The sequence below is a fragment of the Homo sapiens genome, chromosome Y (assembly GCF_000001405.40).
Source record: "Homo sapiens chromosome Y, GRCh38.p14 Primary Assembly".
Taxonomy (NCBI): Eukaryota; Metazoa; Chordata; class Mammalia; order Primates; family Hominidae; genus Homo; species Homo sapiens.
In genome coordinates this window covers 26,363,722-26,382,719 of record NC_000024.10, presented here as the reverse complement: position 1 = coordinate 26,382,719, position 18,998 = coordinate 26,363,722, and positions in this window count along the sequence as shown.

Sequence of the window (18,998 nt, the reverse complement as noted above, 5' to 3'; positions counted from 1 at the left end):
TAAGTGGAGCTACTGATAGAAATAGTATTGTATCATCTCTCTTTCTTAATATTGATCTAGTAGTACTACAATAGTAACTACCTCATAGAATTGTTAGAATTAATATATGAAAGATCTTAAAACAGTTTCTGACACTTAGTAGGCTCCATAGTGTTTGCTATTATTGTTTTTATTATAAAATCCATGTAACTCTAGTCAAAATTTCCATGGAAAAATTTGGCAAGCTCATCCTGAATTTCATCTGGAAGAATTAATATGCAGAAATAGTCAAGTAAATCCCTCAAAATTCAATAAGGTGAGTCTTGGCCTACCAGATGTCAAAATATAGTTAAGTAATTAAAATGCTATAGTATTGATAGAGGAATAGATAAATAGATAAATGAAAGAAATAGAGACTCCAGAAACAGACTCAATTACAGATAGGAATTTAATTTTGATAATGGTAACATTTCAATTTAATGGGGTAAAAATTGTGTTAGGAGAGTTGGCTCTCTACTTGGGGAAAAAAATTATACCGCCTAACTCTCACCATCTGAAAAGTAAGTTCCAAGGAATCAAATAGTTAATATAATTTTTAGAAGGAAATATAGGTGAATATTTTTATAACTAGGAAGCAAGGAAGAGGTGGGAGGGAGAAGGCTTCCTGAGTAAAATGAAACTCAGAACTTTTCTATGACAAAAAACATCCTAAAAAGAGTTGAAAGACAAATGACAGACTAGGAAAAAGATTTTGTGATCAAGGATTAATATCCAGAGTAACGAGCTCTTTATATAAACAATTTTAAAAATTTAACCAGCCGGGCACAGTGGCTCATGCCTGTAATCCCAGCACTTTGGGAGCCCGAGGTGGGTGGATGACAAGGTCAGGAGATTGAGACCATCCTGGCTAACATGGTGAAACCCTGTCTCAACTAAAAATACAAAAAATTAGCCAGGCGTGGTGGCGGGCGCCTGTGGTCCCAGCTACTCGGGAGGCTGAGGCAGGAGAACTGCGTGCCCGGGAGGCGGAGCTTGCAGTGAGCCGAGATGGTGCCACTGCACTCCAACCTGGGCAACAGAATAAGACTGTGTCTCAAAAAAAAAAAAAATTTAACCATCTTTAAAAAATGAGGAAAGGCTATGAATGGGGAGTAGTTTATGTGGCTAATAAACATATGAGATAATATCCACATGGAAGGCTGGGTGAGGTGGCTAATCCCAGCACTTTGGGAGGCCGAGGCAAGAAGTCACGAGGTCAGGAGTTCGAGACCCGCCTGGCCAACATAGTGAAACCCCGTCTCTACTAAAAATACAAAAATTAGCTGGGCATGGTGGTTCACGCCTGCAGTCCCAGCTACTCGGGAGGCTGAGGCAGGAGAATTGCTTGAGCTTGGGAGGCGGAAGTTGCAGTGAGCCAAGATCGCTCCACTGCACTCCAGTCTGGGTGACAGAGCAGGACTCTGTCTCAAAAAAAAAAAATAAAAATAAAAATAAAAATCCACATGGAATTGCAAGGGACCCAGAATAGCCAAGACAATCCTGAAAAGAAGAACAAAGTAGGAGGACTCACACTTCCTGATTTTAAAACTTACTACAAAGCGATGGTAACCAAGACAGTGTGGTATCGGCACAAAAGTAGACATGTACATCAATGGAATAGAATTGAGATTCTAGAAATAAACCCATGCAACCATGGTCAACTGATATATGACAAAGGTGCCAAGACCATTCACTGGGGAAAGAATAGTATTTTCAACAAATGGTATAGGGGGCAGCTGGATAACATGCAAAAGAATGAAGTTGGAGTCTTACACCATACAAAAGTTAAAATAGATCAAAGACCTAAATGTAAAAGCTAAAGCTAAAAATCTCTTAGATGAAAACATAGCAGTAATGTTTTCCATGACCTCGATTGATTAATTGATTGAATTTTACTGATGAGCTATCAGATTGTATCCATGACCTCGGATTTAGCAAAAGATTCTTAGATATGTCACCATAGCATGAGCAACAAAAGAAAAAATAATTTGAATTCATAAAAATTAAAAGCTTTATTTATTTATTTTTAAGAGGAAGGGTCTCACTCTGTTATCCAGGCTGGAGTGCAGTGGTGCGATCATGGCCCACTGTAACCTCAAACTCCTGGGCTCTAGTGATCTTCCAACCTTAACCTCCCAAGTAACAAGGACTGCAGGTATGTGACATCACATCCAGCATTTTTTTTTTTTAGAGATGGGTTTTGGTATGGAGCCCAGGCTGGTCTCAACATCTTGGCCTCAACTGATCCTCCCACCTCAGCCTCCCAAAGTGTTGGGATTATAGGCATGAGCCACCACCACTCCTGGCCTAAAAGCTTAAAATACTTGAAAGGACACTATCAAGAAAGCAGGTAGATCACTTGAGTCCTGGAGTTCAAGACCAGCTTGGGGCACTGTAGCAGGACAACATCTCTACAAACAATTTGAAAAATTAGCCAGGCATAGTGGCACACACCTGTAGTCCCAGCTGCTCAAGAGGTTCAGGTGGGAGGATCATTTGGACCTGGAAGCATCGCTTGCAGTGAGCTGAGATCGTGCCACTGCACTCCAGCTTGGGTAACAGAGTAAGACCTTGTCCCAAAAACAAACAAACAAAAAAAGAAAGTGATAAGACAACCCACAGAGTGAGAGATATTTGCAAATTATATATCTTGTAAGTGACTTGTATCTAGAATATATAAAGAACTTTAATAATAAATAAATAACTTTATAATAATAAGAAGAAAAAAATATCTCAATTAAAAAATGGACAAATAATCTAAATAGACATGCCTCCAAGGAAGATACACAAATGACCAATAAGCACCTGAAAAGATATTCAACATCAATTGTCATCAGGGAAATGCAATGAAAACCATAATGAGACACCACTTTGTACCCACTAGGATGACTAGAACCAAAAAGTAAAATAATGACAAGTATTGGTGAGGGTATGGTGAAATTGGAGCTCTTATATACTGCTGGTAAAAATGTAAGATGGGGCAGCCGCTGAAAAACAGTCTGGCAGTTCCTCAAACAATTAAGCATAGAGTTACCATATGATCCAGCAGTTCTACTCCCATAAATGAAAACGTATGTCCATACCAGCAATTCTACTCCTAGGTGTACTGAAGATAAATGAAAACATGTGTCCATACAACACTTACACAAAAATGTTAATGGCAGTATTATTCATAATAACCAAAGGTGGACACAACCCAAATGTTCATCAGCTTATGGATAATCGAAATGTGTATCCATACAATGGAACATTATTTAGCCATAAAAATGAATGAAATACTGATTCATGCTACAGTTTGGATGAGCCTTGAAAACAGATGCTAAGAGAAGTCAGTCACAGAAGTCTACATATTATATGATTCTGTTTATTTGAAAGTCCAGAATAGGGAAATCTCTGGAGTGGGAAAGTAGGTTGGTGGTTGCTTAGGGATAGGAGGAGGGAGGGTAAGAGGTTGAGGAGCAATAGCTAGAGGATACAGGACTTCTTTTTTTTCTTTTTTTTTTTGAGACGGTGTCTCACTCTGTCACCCAGGCTGGAGTGCAGTGGCGCAATCTTGTCTCACTGCAACCTCCACCTCCTGGGCTTAAGTGATGCTCCCACCCCAGACTCCCAAGTAGCTGGGACTACAGGCCCACACCACACCTGGCTGATTTCTAATTTTTTATATTTTTGCTAGAGAGAGGTTTTCACCATGCTTCTCAGGCTGGTCTCAAACTCCTGAGCCCGAGTGATCCACCTGCCTCGGCCTCCCGTAAGTGCTGGGGTTACAGGCGTGAGCCACCGTGACTGAACCCAGGGCTTCTTTTTGAGATGATGGAAATTTTCTAAAATTGACTGTGGTGATGGTTTCACTTATCTATGACTATAATTTTTTTAAAAAAGTACCTTTGAAATTGTATACTTTTAAATTTAATTAATTAATTTATTTTTCCAAAGACAGGATCTCTCTCTATTGCCCAGGCTGGAGTGCACTGCTGCGATCTCAACTCACTGCAACCTCCACCTTTCGGGTTAAAGGGATTCTCGTGCCTCAGCCTCCTCAGGGGCTGGGACTACAGGCACACACCACCAAGCCTGGCCATTTTTTTTGTATTTTTAGTAGAGAAAGGGTTTTGCCATGTTGGCCAGGGTGGTCTCGAACTCCTGACCTCAAGTGATCTACCTGCCTTGATCTCCCAAAGTGCTGGGATTGCAAGAGTGAGCCACTGTGTCCAGCCTGAAATTATATACTTTAAATGGACAAATTGTATTGTATGTGAATTGTATCTCAGCATAGCTGTTTTAACATTAAAAAAAATTTAAAACACATGAGAAACTTCTCAGATTTCATTATTAGCAAAATGCAAATCGAAACAGTGTTTTTTTTTTCCAGTTCTTTAACAGAAATTTAAAAATTAGTTCTTTTTTTTTCCTTGAACCAAAAGAATTAGTTCTTTCAAGCATGGATATTGATATGGAGTTGGGGAAATGGGTGCACTTAACTGTCTTGTAAATGGGCAAAGCCTTTTCAGAAGGCAGTTTGGCAGAATTTATAAAAATATATGCAGATCATTTGGCTCCCAAGTTTTATTTCTTTCCTTATTCTAGCATATGTACAGAAAGATGTATATACAAAAATGTTCTTTTATTCCTTGTAAAAAAAATTAGGAAAAACCTAAATTTATATAAATGGGGGAATGGTTAGATATTCACAGTATGGAAATCTTTTGCTGTTATGAACAAAAGAAGTAGACCCAGGTCTGGGCATGATGGCTCACTCCTGTAATCCCAACACTTTAGGAGGCCAAGGCAGGAGGATTGCTTAAGGCCAGGAGTTTGAGACCAGTCTGGGAAACATAGCAAGACCCTGTCTCTAAAAAATAAATAAATAAATAAAAAACAAAAGAGGTAGACCTACATAAACCTGTACTAACACTATGCAAGAACATTCTATAAGAATATTGTAAGTAGAAAGAAAAACTCACTGAAGTACATATAATATGTCCCCATTTACACTTTTAAAAATTCTGGAAGATGGCCGGGCGTGGTGGTTCACGCCTGTAATCCCACCACTTTGGGAGGCTGAGGCAGGCAGATCACGAGGTCAGGAGATCGAGACCATCCTGGCTAACACGGCGAAACTCCATCTCTACTAAAAATACAAAAAATTAGCCAGGCATGGTGGCAGTGAGATCGCACCACTGCTGAGATCGCGCCAACCGAGATCCCAGCTGAGATCATACCACTGCACTCCAGCCTGGGCGACAGAACGAGACTCCATCTCAAAAAAAGAAAAAAAAATTCTGAAAGATATATGAAAAGTACATGTAAGCACATAAGTATCTGGACAGTATTTTAGCAGGATATATTGTAGTTAGATTTTAATTTTTTTTCTCTTAACAATAAAAATATACTCTGTGTTACTAGATTACTTTAAGACAATCAATTTGGGTACGGGCACAGTGGCTCATGCCTATAATCCACAAGCACTTTGGGAGGCTGAGGCGGGTGGATCACCTGAGGTCGAGAGTTCAAGACCAGCCTGACCAACATGGAGAAACCCCATCTCTACTAAAAATACAAAATTAGCCGGGCATGGTGGCGCATGCCTGTAATCCTAGCTGCTCAGGAGGCTGAGGCAGGAAAATCGCTTGAACCCACGAGGCGGACATTGCGGTGAGCCGAGATTGCACCATTGCACTCTAGCCTGGGCAGCAAGAGTGAAACTCTGTCTCAGAAAAAAAAAGGAAGGAAGGGGAAAGAAAAGAGAAAAGAGAAAAAAGAAAATAAAAGAAAAGAGAAAAGAAAAGAAAATCAATTTGGGCTGGGCCTGGTGGCTCATGCCTACAATCCCAGCACTTTGGGAGACTGGGCAGATCACCTGGGGTCAGGAATTGAAGACCAGCCTGGCCAACGTGGTGAAACCCTGTCTCTACTAAAAATACAAAAATTAGCTGGATGTGGTAGTGGGCGCTGTAACCCCAGGTACTTGGGAGGCTGAGGCATGAGAATCGCTTAGACCTGGGAAGCAGAGTTTGTATTGAGTTAAGATGATGCCACTGCACTCCAGCCTGGACAGCAAGAGTGAAACTCTGTCTCAGAAAAAAAAAAAAAAAAAGGAAGGAAGGGGAAAGAAAAGAGAAAGGAGAAAAAAGAAAATAAAAGAAAAGAGAAAAGAAAAGAAAAGAAAATCAATTTGGGCTGGGCCTGGTGGCTCATGCCTACAATCCCAGCACTTTGGGAGACTGGGCAGATCACTTGGGGTCAGGAATTCAAGACCAGCCTGGCCAACATGGTGAAACCCTGTCTCTACTAAAAATACAAAAATTAGCTGGATGTGGTAGTGGGCGCTGTAACCCCAGGTACTTGGGAGGCTGAGGCATGAGAATCGCTTAGACCTGGGAGGCAGAGTTTGTATTGAGTTAAGATGATGCCACTTCACTCCAGCCTGGGCAACAAAGTGAGACTCTGTCTCAAAAAAAAAAAAAAAAAAGGAAGAAAGAAAGAAAGAAAATCAATTTGAAGAAAAAAGCTATAGTATACCTGATATTGGATGGAGCTTTGGTTTGGAAGTTAGGAACCCACAGCATTAGTTATGCTATTGTCATAGACTTAAGCCCTCTCAAGTTGTTTAGGTTTCATTTGTCTCACATAACTCGGTGTTAGGAAGCAGTATTAGGACCATGTTGTTCCCCATTGTTACTTCCTGAGCATTATTTCTTATACCGTCTAATAAAAATAAAATACCATTGCTCCTTTGATTCTCATGCCACCTTTTAACTCCCTCATTCATCAAAGACTTAGCTCACAACTTACTCTCCATCTCATTTTTCTATCAAATCATCCAACATTCACTTGGGTGACTGTTCCTGAAAATGTTTCTCATTTTGGGTGATTTTTCCCTCAACCTTGCTCTGTCACCCATTTCCACAGTTATACCTGTGACACAAATATCACCTATATCTGCTCCTCCTCTAATGCATCTGGCTTTTTGGCCATAATGTGGAATTGCTAATTCAATCACTGCTTTTATAACCAGTTCTAATTGGGACTTCCAATTCTTTTTCCCATTTACTTCTTTATAATTCATCAGCTTTTCTTCTTGTCTTGCTTAGATTCTGTTTACTTTAATAACACTTTCCCTAAACCCTAAACTCCTTACCTCTCTGAAATTTTTGAACTTATCTGTCAACGTCCTAACTGGATGAACCTAACTCTGATTTCTCTGTGGTTACACCTAAGTGGATGAAAATCACCAAATAGTATACGTTTTTATTACTTTACATTCATGGTCCCCAAATTCAAATAGATCCTTTCCCTTGTCTGGAAACCCAATCGTATGTCCCTGGCCAACTCACTCATTTCTCTGGAATGATCATTTCATACTTCTGTATGATCCTCACCCTTCTGACCATTCTACTTCCTTCCTTTTTCTGAACAGTTGATATCACCTCCTCCTGCTTTGCTTCCTACTCCACAACTTGTCTGATCTGGCTTTTGTGTTTATCACTGCACCAAAAAAACCCTTTTAACAAGTGCTTTAACATGAGACTTGTGAAAGTCTCTAGTGCCCTGTAGGTTGTTAAATTTAGAGTTGGTTTAATAAAATGGTTCAGAATTATGCCTGGAGCCAGACTGATTGGATTTGAATGCTGGCTCCTTAGTTTTTAGCCATATGACCTTGGGCATGTTACTTAATCTTCTAAAAATGATGATGATGGTAATAATAGTAATATTTATCTTATTAGCTTGCCAGGAGGATTTAATGAATATTAATTCATTAACATTCATTATATGGGGCAGTATTTAATGAATATTAATTCATTAATATTCAATATATGGGGCAGTGTTTCACCCATGTATAGTAAGCCCTTAATAAATATTAATTGATATTATTGCTCCTACCACTACCCCTGTTACTACTGTGATTACTACTGCTTCACAGATAAGATAGAAAACAGAGAAATCAGATGGGAATTTCTTATTTGTTATTACTTTTTTGAGACAAGGTCCCTCTTTGTCACTCAGACTGAAGTGCAGTGTCACACTGTAAGGCTTGGCTCACTGCAAGCAATGCCTTTGGGGCTCAAGTGATCCTCCCACCTCAGCCTCCCAAGTAGCTGGGACTATAGATGCGTGCCATCATGCCTGGCTAATTTTTGTATTTTTTGTAGAGATGGGGTTTCACCATGTTGCCCAGGCTCAATTTTTATCTCTAAACCACTCTACCTATGTCTGAGGCATTCTCTTTTCCTTCCCTCCTATTGCAGTGGAGAGTTTTTCCCATTTAAGGGTAATCCTTCTGTCTTTATTTTGGAGCCTTTCTCTTTAATCTCACACTATCCAACCTTATTTGCCAACCTTTTCTTTTCATGTGAATGCTTCTAAATATAATTAAACATGCTCAAGTCTCTTTCATTTTACAATAACAACAATTTATGGCCCCTTCCTGGCTTCCATCTATCACTCTGTCTCTTTCCTCCTTTTCTTAGCCATATTTTTCAAGACTTATCAATGCTCTCATTTCCTTTCACTCTTCATTCCATTCTTAATCTTGCTCTTGCCCAATTACTGCACTGAAACATTTCAAGCTCAGGTCCTCCATGACCTTTACATTGCTAATTCTGACATTTCCTTTCTTCAGCTTACTTGACTGTTAGCAACATCAACCACTCTTTCTTGAAACGCTTTCATCCTATGACTTCCATGATACATTTGTTTTTCTTTTCTCTTCTCTGGTTATACCACCTTTGCTCACTCATCCTTTCCTAAACAGTTTTTAAATTCTAGAATTTCTCATAGCTTTGTGGTAGGCTGTCTTTTCATACTACTCTCTTGCCAGGTCTTTTCCACATGCCCAGCTTCAAATAGACCAGAAAAAATATTGGCTGCTATCACCAGTATTGTGATATTCCTCAACCTTTCCCTTCCTTAGAGGACTTTTGGGAAGACACATGGGGATATATTTAAAATTTGAGTTTTTTGGAAGAATGGATGGCATTATAACTTATATTATTCCATTGAAATTAATCTAGATCTAAAATATAGGAAAACCCAATCCTTTTAGTCAGATATATTAAAATAACATATTGGAAGAAAAAAAGTTTTTGATAATAGTGTGTCTAAAGTTACTATCCCATAAGTTAGCAATTATGAGAATGTCCAAATTCAGCAATAATTAAATACTATACATGCAGCTATTTTCTGGCACTGAAGAAAATCATGATAGTAATGGTAGTAGTAATAACAATGGCACTGGCAAGAATACAGCATAGTCCTAATATAAATATTTTCTTTTTGACTTTTGAGATGGAGTCTTGCCCTCTTGCCCAGGCTGGAGTGCAGTGGCTCAATCTCAGCTCACTGCAACCTCCACCTCCCGGACTCAAGTGATTCTCCCACCTCAGCCTCCTGAGTAGCTGGGACTACAGGTGTGCACCACCACGCCCAGCTAAAAAGTATTTTCTATATGTTTGATTTTTTTAGGAGACAATATGCCAAATTCCTTAAATTTGGCAGATTCTCATAGTATATGATCTCATACTCTGAAAGAGGGAAATAGACCTCTGGAAAAATGGATAATTCTTAGCCAGTGCATTACACACACATGCATACACACATTAGAAACAAAAGAAGCAAAAACGAAAACTCAAGGACAAACTGATTCTGATGTCATTATTTCCACAGCAAACAGCTGGGATTTTTACATATGTGACATTAACTTAGAAAACTTAGAAAATTGAAAGCTCCTACTTCATCCTCACTGTCATGTTAGTGTCACCTGGGGGTTGTGATCTGAATCTTCACTGAACTCTCTTCATTATTATTGCATTCATTGATTTTGATGATATTAAATTGCCTTTTGGAAAATATTCACTATTCAGTTGTTGGAGTCCCTTCCTCCTTTAACCTGTTCTCCCAAAACAGCTTTGATTTTTTTAAGAGACAGTATGCCAGGCGTGCTGGTTAGCCTAGAATTAGTAGACACAAGGAACCTTCTGTCAGAGGGATTGTTGTGTCTGGCACAGGATCATTTGGGCACAGTATCATAGCTTGCCTGGCAGAAGTCTAAGCAAAGGGACACAACACTCTTGGCAAGTTGAGAGTGGGAAGGGTAATGTCTTATGTTGCCCAAGTAACTCTGTTTTAGTTAGAATCCTGACTAGCTGAAAAAGCATACTTCTCTCAATGGCCTTGGTGAAGCCTTTTGATGATTGACTATTTCCTTAAGAGTTTAAGAGAAGGCTCAGAAAAGGGCTTTCATTCTGTTAACTTCTTGCTTTTTGCTATGTACATTGTTATATTGGTGGAAATTTCACATTTCATTATTTTATTTCCTTTTCCCCTCAGTACTAAACATATATATATATATTTTTTGTAAATTGAGGTGGGAGATGACCTTTTGAATCTCTAAAACCTAGTGTTGTGATTATCAATGTGTGGATTCTAAGATATGTGCTACCAACTAATAATAGCACCAAGAAAACCTCTGGATGCTCACTGGATATGCCTGGGGATGGATATTAACATGGTAAATTTTACTCAAAATAGGATATTAGAAATTATTTTCATATTTAATTATATTCACATTTGTCATATAACTAAGAGATTTCTTTCTTTTGACAGGGTCTTGCTCTGTCACCTAGGGCTGGAGTGTAGTGGTGCATACATGGCTTACTGCAGCCTCATTTTTCTGGGCCTAAGCGATCCCCCTGCCTTAGCCTCCTGTGTAGCTTGGACCACAGGCATGTGTTAGCATGCCCAGCAAACTTTTTAATTTTTTGTAGAGATGAGGTCTCATTTTGTTGTCCAAGCTGGTCTCAAAAAATCCTCCCTCCTTACCTTCCTAAAATGCTGGGATTATAGGTGTGAGCCACCACACCTGGCCTGATTTCTTTTTTTTTTTGGAAACGGAGTCTTGCTCTGTCGTCCAGGCTAGAGTACAATGGCGGGATCTTGGCTCAATGCAAGCTCCACCTCCTGTGTTCAAGCCATTCTCCTGCCTCAGCCTCCTGAGTAGCTGGGATTACTGGCACCTACCACCATGCCTGGCTAATTTTTTGTGCTTTTAGTAGAGATGGGGTTTCACCGTGTTAACCAGGCTGGTCTCGATCTCCTGACCTCGTGATTTGCTTGCCTCAGCCTCCCAAAGTGCTGGGATTACAGGCGTGAGCCACTGCACCTGGCCGATATTTTTTTTTCCTTAATGATAGATTAAAAAGGTCTCATTTCATTTATTTTTTATAATTTCAACTTTTAGATTCAGGGGGTACATGTACAAGTTTGTTAATGGGTATATCGTGTGATGCTGAAGTTTGGGGTATGATTGATCCCATCACCCAGTTAGCAAGTGTAGTACCCAATAGTTAGTTTTTCATCCCTAGCCCCTCTCCCTTTCTCTCTCCCTCCCTCTCTGCTCTAGTAGTCCCCAGTGTCTACTGTTGCCATCTTTATGTCCATGAATACCCAGTGTTTAGCTCACACTTATAAGTGAGAACATGCAGAATTTGTTTTCTGTTCCTGTGTTAATTTACTTAGGATAATGGCCTGCAGCTGCATCCATGTTACTGGAAAGCACATGATTTTGTTCCTTTTTATGGCACATAACTAGGAGATTTCTATCCTCATTATTAATGTATTAGCTTGCTTTCTGTATTGTTAATATCATTAAGCAAATACATGTTTTGTGTGTGTAGAGAACTATTCTGGGCCCTGGGGATACAATTAGTAAGTCATAGACTCTGCATACAAGGCGTCTTGCTGAGAATTTGACCTATCAAAGATAACTACAATAAAATCCAATGTACTACAATAGATAATGGGAAACTGATGGTAGTGGCTAGTATCTGCTAGGTTGAGAAGAATAGTCAAGGCAGGCTTCATAGTGAAGGTAATGTTTAAACTAAGTCTTTCAGACCATGTAGAAGCTTTAAGCAGGAAAATGCATTCCAGACAGAGGAAACAGCATGTGTAAATATATGAGGGCATGTGAAACTGTGGCACACTTGCAGAATTGTTAGAGATTGTTATGGAAATGGTTTATAATAGCTAACAGCAATATGCATGAGCAGTTAAGTTGTGCCAGACACTGTTCCAACTGCTGTGTCCATATAAAGATATGTAATCTTCATAATAATACTAAGAAAGAAATAGTACTGTTATTCCCATTTTATAGATGGGGTAACTGAGGCAGAAAGAAGTTAAGTAACTTATACAAGGTGTTATTGCTATTAAGTTCCACAGCTGACATTTGAATTCAAACTTTCTGGCCAATGCACTAAATCAGGAGTCAGCAAACTACAGCTCATGGGCCAAATCCAGCCCACTGCCTGTTTTTGTACAACCTATAAGCTAAAAATAGTTTTGCACTTTTAATTAGCTGAAAAAGTATTTTGTGATATGTGCAACTTATATGAAATTCAGATTTTTAGTGTCCATAAAATTTTACTGGAACCCAGCTATAGTCATTGGTATTAGTATTGTCCATAGCTGCTTTTAGGTTATAATGACAGAGTTGAATGTTTGCAAGAGACTATGATCTGCAAAGTGTGAAGTACTTCTTTCTTTTTGCTCTTTTTTCTCTTGTTTTTTTAGAGACAGGGTCAGGCTCTGTCACTCACACTGGAGTATAATGGCACAATCATACCTCACTGCAGTTTTGACCTCCTGGGCTTAAGCAAGTTTTTCATCTCAGCCTCCCGAGTAGCTAGGACTACAGTTGTCCACCACCATGCCTGGCTAATTTAAATTTTTTTCTTTTTTTGTAGAGATAGATTCTTCCCACATTGCCCAGGCTGGTCTTGAACTCCTGCCCTCAAGCAATTCATTCACCTTGGTCTCCCAAATAAAGTACTTTCTATTTGGCTCTTTACAGAGAAAGTTTGCTCTAAATCAATGCACTATACTGCCTTACAGTATATTTTGTTTTATTAATTAACACAAAGAATATCATATTTAATAGCAATACTTGGACTTATGTACTAGTTATCTTTTTAAAAATCTGTTTTCATATTTGTCATCTTGTGTCCTCACATCAACCCTGAAATAAAAAGAAGGTTAAATTTGGTGTTTTTCTTGTATAGCTAAGAAACTTAGCTGTGGAAAGATTAGGATGGGCTGTGACATTAAAGTCAGACTCTTTTGCCTATACAGTATCTTATAACTTCCTCCATTCTGTTCTGAAATTTCTCCTCTACCTCTGTCCTACATAACAGTTGTTCAGAGTTTCACCTTGAGGACACTTTATAAATGAGACAGTTGAGAAAGATTGAAAGCAAGGTAACACACACTCTTTCCTTAACCTTCAGTGCCTCTGCGACAGCATCTGAAATTTTCTTTTTTTTTTTAAGTTTTTTTTTTCTTTTATTATTATACTTTAAGTTTTAGGGTCACATGGACACAGGAAGGGGAACATCACACTCTGGGGACTGTTGTGGGATGGGGGGAGGGGGGAGGGATAGCATTGGGAGATATACCTAATGCTAGATGACAAGCATCTGAAATTTTCTGTCTTGGCAAGCTTCACCTAATTCTGAGCACCCTGCTAGCGAAGTGCTCCGGGAGGCTGAGATTTGACTGCAGATAAGTAAGCACTTACCATCAAAGGAGACAGGGGGCGTTTCTCATTTTCATTTCCATAAAGGGATGCCATTGCTTTGCCAGGCTATGTGGAAAGTCTTTGCCTTAACAGTGAATCTTGAGTCCTCTTTCAGGTTTTTACCTGTCCATATTCTACTTTTGAAACATGAGGTTTCTACCTTTTTGCTATTCCTGATCTTTTCCTGGACTTAGGAATGCCTTCTCTTACCAACCAAATCACGGAAGCTTTTCTTTTTACCTTGGTACTACCACTAAGCTACTTGGGGAGAGTGGAATCTAACTCTTCTATTTGTGACCTCAAGGGATGTTTGTGTTATTTATTGGTTTGTATTTTTCATTCTACTTCCCTTCTAGGACATAGCAGTCTGAAGTTTGGACTACAGGCCATGTTTTGTTGTATCATTATGCTTGATGCTTTTAGGAAAAAAACAAGTTGTTCAGATTTCTAAAGTCTTAATCTCTAGTGTGTCTTCTGTTTTCAGCCTCAATAGTGAATTTGTATTATCAGATATACAAAATTGATTATACCCAGATTTGGACTGTTTAGGCCTAGCAGAAACAAGATGCAGCTTTAAGAGAGGTCAACTATGTTTCTGCTCATAGCCAGCATTTCCTTGGCCTCGGACAGTGCTGAGGTCAGAGCAATGTAGAAAAAAGAGCACAGACTATGAAATAAGACTTCCTGAGTTCAAATCCCAGGTCTACTGGTTAAGTAGTTTTGTGTTCTTGGAACAAGTTATTTCTGTCTGCTTCAGGTTCCTCATCTGTTAAATTATCATACCAATCATAAGAACTCCTTCATAGGGATACAATTAGGATTAAATGAGCTAATGTACATAAAAACACTTCAAGCCTGGTACACAGTTAAATGTTATGTGTTAGCTGCTATTATTATATTACCCTTGTATACTCTCCAGAGTTAACAAGGTACCCTCCTTTCTACACAAGAGCAAAAATGATATACTTAAACATAAATATAGTTCTATATAAGTAATGTTATACTTAAATATGAATATAAGCTCTATGTAAGTTCCTGTACATGTAAACAGATCACAGTCAGATTTCATTCATAAGAGATAAAAGTTAATTTAAGTTAGGATTAGAGGGAAGGAAAAACAATGGGTCAGGGCTCCTATAGCTGACTCCTATAGCTGGTAAAGGAAGTTGAGGGGCTTTAGACTGTGTTTTACCATAACAGAGTCACTGGCTGCTGAGGGTCCATCAAGTCTAATTGTTAGCACAAGCAGAAAATCTAAGAAGATAAAGTTCTGATCTGACACTGACTCATATTACCAAAGAACAGGTTAAGAATTTGTCTCAGTAATCAGTGTTCCCTGACTGTAATGTGCATTTCCATTTATTCATGTAACAAATATTAATAAGGCCTGTACTATACCAGACATGGTCCTCAGGCAGAAATGTAGTAATAAAAAATGATTAAGACTTTACCATTTAGTGGTGGAAAGAGACATGTAAATGATACAATGCAACAGAAATAATCTCTAATATAAAATGAGAGCTAAGTACAAAGTGTTATAGTGCAGAGTAAGAAGTTGCTAACTTGGTCAAGGGGCTACAGGAAGAACCTCCCAGTATAAGCATTATTTGGGCTGGGTGCGGTGGCTCACGCCTGTAATACCAGCACTCTGGGAGGCCAAGGTGGGCGGATCATGAGATCAGGAGATCAAGACCATCCTGGCTAACACAGTGAAACCCCGTCTCTACTAAAAAAATACAAAAAATTAGCCGGGAATGGTGGCACACGCCTGCAGTCCTAGCTACTCAGGAGGCTGAGGCAGGAGAACCACTTGAAGCTGGGAGGTGGAGTTGCAGTGAGCCAAGACACGCCACTGCACTCCAGCCTGGGCAACAGAGTGAGACTCCGTCTCAAAAAAAATTATAATATAAATTAAAAAAATAAAAATAAAACAATTATTTACCTGAGTTATAAAGAAGAAAGAGAACACTGAAACAGCAGCGATGAAGAGAATCTGAAGCAAAGAGAATAACATAGGCAAAGGTCTGGAGGAAACAGAAAATGTCCATTTTTTGGAATAGTGAGAACTCTATGCATGGATAGACTAAAAAGGGGGTAGGGGCATGCATAGAAATTTAAGTAGGGCTTCATTTGCCACACTGAGAAATTGGAACTTTACCCTATAGGCTAGGGGAAAATAGAAGGAATTGTGGCTGGTAGGGTACGTTGACAGCCATGAAGGTCCCTATATTCCATCCGTGATAAAGAGTTTCACCTTTATCCTGAAGACAACAGGGAGGTATTGAGGTTTTCAAACCAGAGAGTGATACTATCAGAATTGTATCTTAGAATGATAATTGCAGTAGGAATATGAAGATTGAACCAATGGGAGGGAAAAACTCATGAGAGACACCAGTGAGGAAACTGTAATCCAGGCTAGAGAGGATGAGGTCTTGAAGTAAGGTACTGGCAGCTAAGACACTGGGGAGGACATGGATTTGAGAAGTACCCCTGAGGTAGAATGAACAGAAAGGGTCATTTATTAGAATGTCAGTGGTGAGAAAGGATAACATGGAGATTGTTAAGAGCTTAGGACCGTGGGTGATTTGTGACACCACTTAGACAAAACAGGGAATATAAGGAAGTCTTAGAAGTCTTTTCTGTTTCTGATTCCCAACTAGTGCTAATTTCTCTTAAAGCCTAAGTGACTTACACTTAGGAACTATATTTGAGCAGCAAACTCACAAGTACTATTGCTCTTTCCATATTAAATAACCCTAAAGTGAGCCTAGAGAAATCAGTGCCAACCAGCCCAGCCTCACAGCTGTTCCCTGCGCCACAGCAAAGTCCTGGTTGGGTCAGTGTCATGAATACCGTGGCATCGGCCTGGCAAGGCATTATTGTACAGCAGCCCACACAACAGGGGAATTGAGGTTACAGTATAAGGTCTCAGCTACAGCTGAAATCTCTTTAAACGCACGTGTTATTGATAACAATGGTAACTTTACAACTCAAGAGGAAACCCCCAATTTCTTCTCGAAAATTTAAATCTTTGGAATAGAAAATGAGTTGGTAAGTTAAAAATATAGTGTTTGGCCCATATGGTATTTTAAAATTAAAGATTTTTTGCACACAAAACTTCTATATTTGAAACTCCTTTTTAAAAATTAGATTACAACACTGGGGCCAGATTCCCACAAAGTAACAACTGGTTGGAGTTGAGTGGCAGCTGCCTTCTTTAGGCAGAACATGCGTTTCTCAGTGCCCCAGGCCCCATCTATCTCTACTGTGTTACACCGAGCCTGCTTTATTAATTTGTATTACCTGCCCATCCCCTTTACTTTCTTGTTTTCCCAAAAATTTTTATTATGAAGATGTTCAAACACAGAAAAGTTGAAAGAAGTTCACAGTGACCCCCATATACCCACACAAGCTATCGTCCACTATTAATGTTGTATTTGCTTTGTCATGTATCCATCCCTTCATCCATTCATCCCATTTCAGACATTAGTAATAATTTCTCCAAATACTTAACTATAAACTAGAGTTAAATACGTCTTTACAGTATTATTTTTCTTTTGAAGTAAAATTTACATACAGTGAAAAGCACAAATCTTAGGTATACGTTCACTAAGTTTTGACAAATATCTGTATATGTTACCCCTCATTGTAGGTGTTTGAGTTGCATCTCTCAGGCATCTGACTCATTGGACAGAAAATTGTAACTGTATACTGTACTGCTTAGGGTTATATAACTGCTTTCTCTCGTGTCTTCTACCATGTAGTACTCTACCTGTGGGAGAACATGACAATAAGTGTTATGGATTAATAACATATTGTTAGCTTTGACTATATAAAACGCTTGATGAAAATATGCTGGGAAAATAATAACCTTTTATTTAATATCTCCTTTTAGGGATAATATTTGGTGTGCTGATTTATACTTTCTGCAGATTTAAACTGCCCCTAATTTCTTTGTGGCATTCACTCCTTACTCAACTCAGATCCCAGAATTGTCTTCCTTCTTTTCCCCAGGCTTACTTGACAGCTATGGAGCATTGCCCAAGCCATAGCTCTCAGGCTGTGCTCTTGTGGCCTGTGAAACACTTGTTTATGGGCACAGAGTGATCTGGAGTTAAATAGAAAAATCTCTCTCCATGGGACAACAATTTACTCTACACACCAACTTGGCAGCAGGGTAGACCATTGCGGGGCTGTGATTAAGACAGGTAGCCAAGAGAGGAAGGAGGTTTCTAATCCAGACTCATGCTAAGAAACAGAGTGGTAACCAAAGCACTTTAAAGAGATCTTTGTGTTTTGCATTTAGTCTAGTTAGGAGTAACCAACTCAAATTGACCAATTGGCCACATTCCTTATATAAAATTATTGGAGGGGTAGACTAATATCGGTTTACACTGTATATACTAAAATAAAGCTATTTTTAGGGAGATGGTATTAAGCATTGAAAATGTTCCATGAAACAAGTAGTTTCTTGACCCTGGCCATGAACTCTATTTCAGACACCTCTAAAGTGGTGGGTAGAAAGCATTTAGGTGGTTCTGTTACTGAATATATGACCTTAAATAAGAATCATTTAACTTTTCCAAGGCTGAGTTTCTTCATCTGTAACATGAAAAGTCCTAATGCTTATCACTCCAGCTTCCATATTCTTTTTTTCCTTTGCTGTTTTGTTATAATAGACTTTTTCCAAGGAATTTCTTTGATCAAGGCTGTAAAGGTGTATCATTCCATTACTTAGTGTGTCTCAGCTCTTATGTACAGAATTTGTAAGAAGCCAATTTCAACAGGACTTTCTTCTATTCAAGTGTCAGAGTTACTCAGCTATCTCACCTTTGATCTGAAAGAAAGTCATACTTGGGATTTTTATCACAATTAGTAGGCCACATTTATTGTTCCTCAAAATTAGAATTATCAGTGAGTAACAAAGTAGAGATTTGGAGACTGGAACATACAACTTCTGTTTGAAGATGACTCATGAGCTTTGAGAAAATGCAGATTTCATTTTCTGAGTTCTTCATCTTCTTTCTCCTCAACTTTCAAAAAACATAATTTGATGATAAGAAATCAGACATGTATAACCATAGTGCAAAAGTTGCCAAGTTGTAAGACAGCTGAGTGAGTTTTTCTTCATTTAAGTGAATAAAAGCATGGGGAATGGAGAAGATTGAGGGAAACATTATTTGAAGCGAAGGGCTTATTAGAATCCAAATTGAACACATTTTCGAAATTTAAGTACTGTTAACCCTTAGGCAATATGATACTTGCTCTTAATTGAAGGGAGATGTTCTCTGGTCCCAACCTGTAAACATTTGCAGTCTTGAGGTAATATGCCAGTTTACCGAGAACAAAATCTTAATCAGTATGACACTTCATGGAAAATTCTTTACTTCTGCTCTCTCGGCTG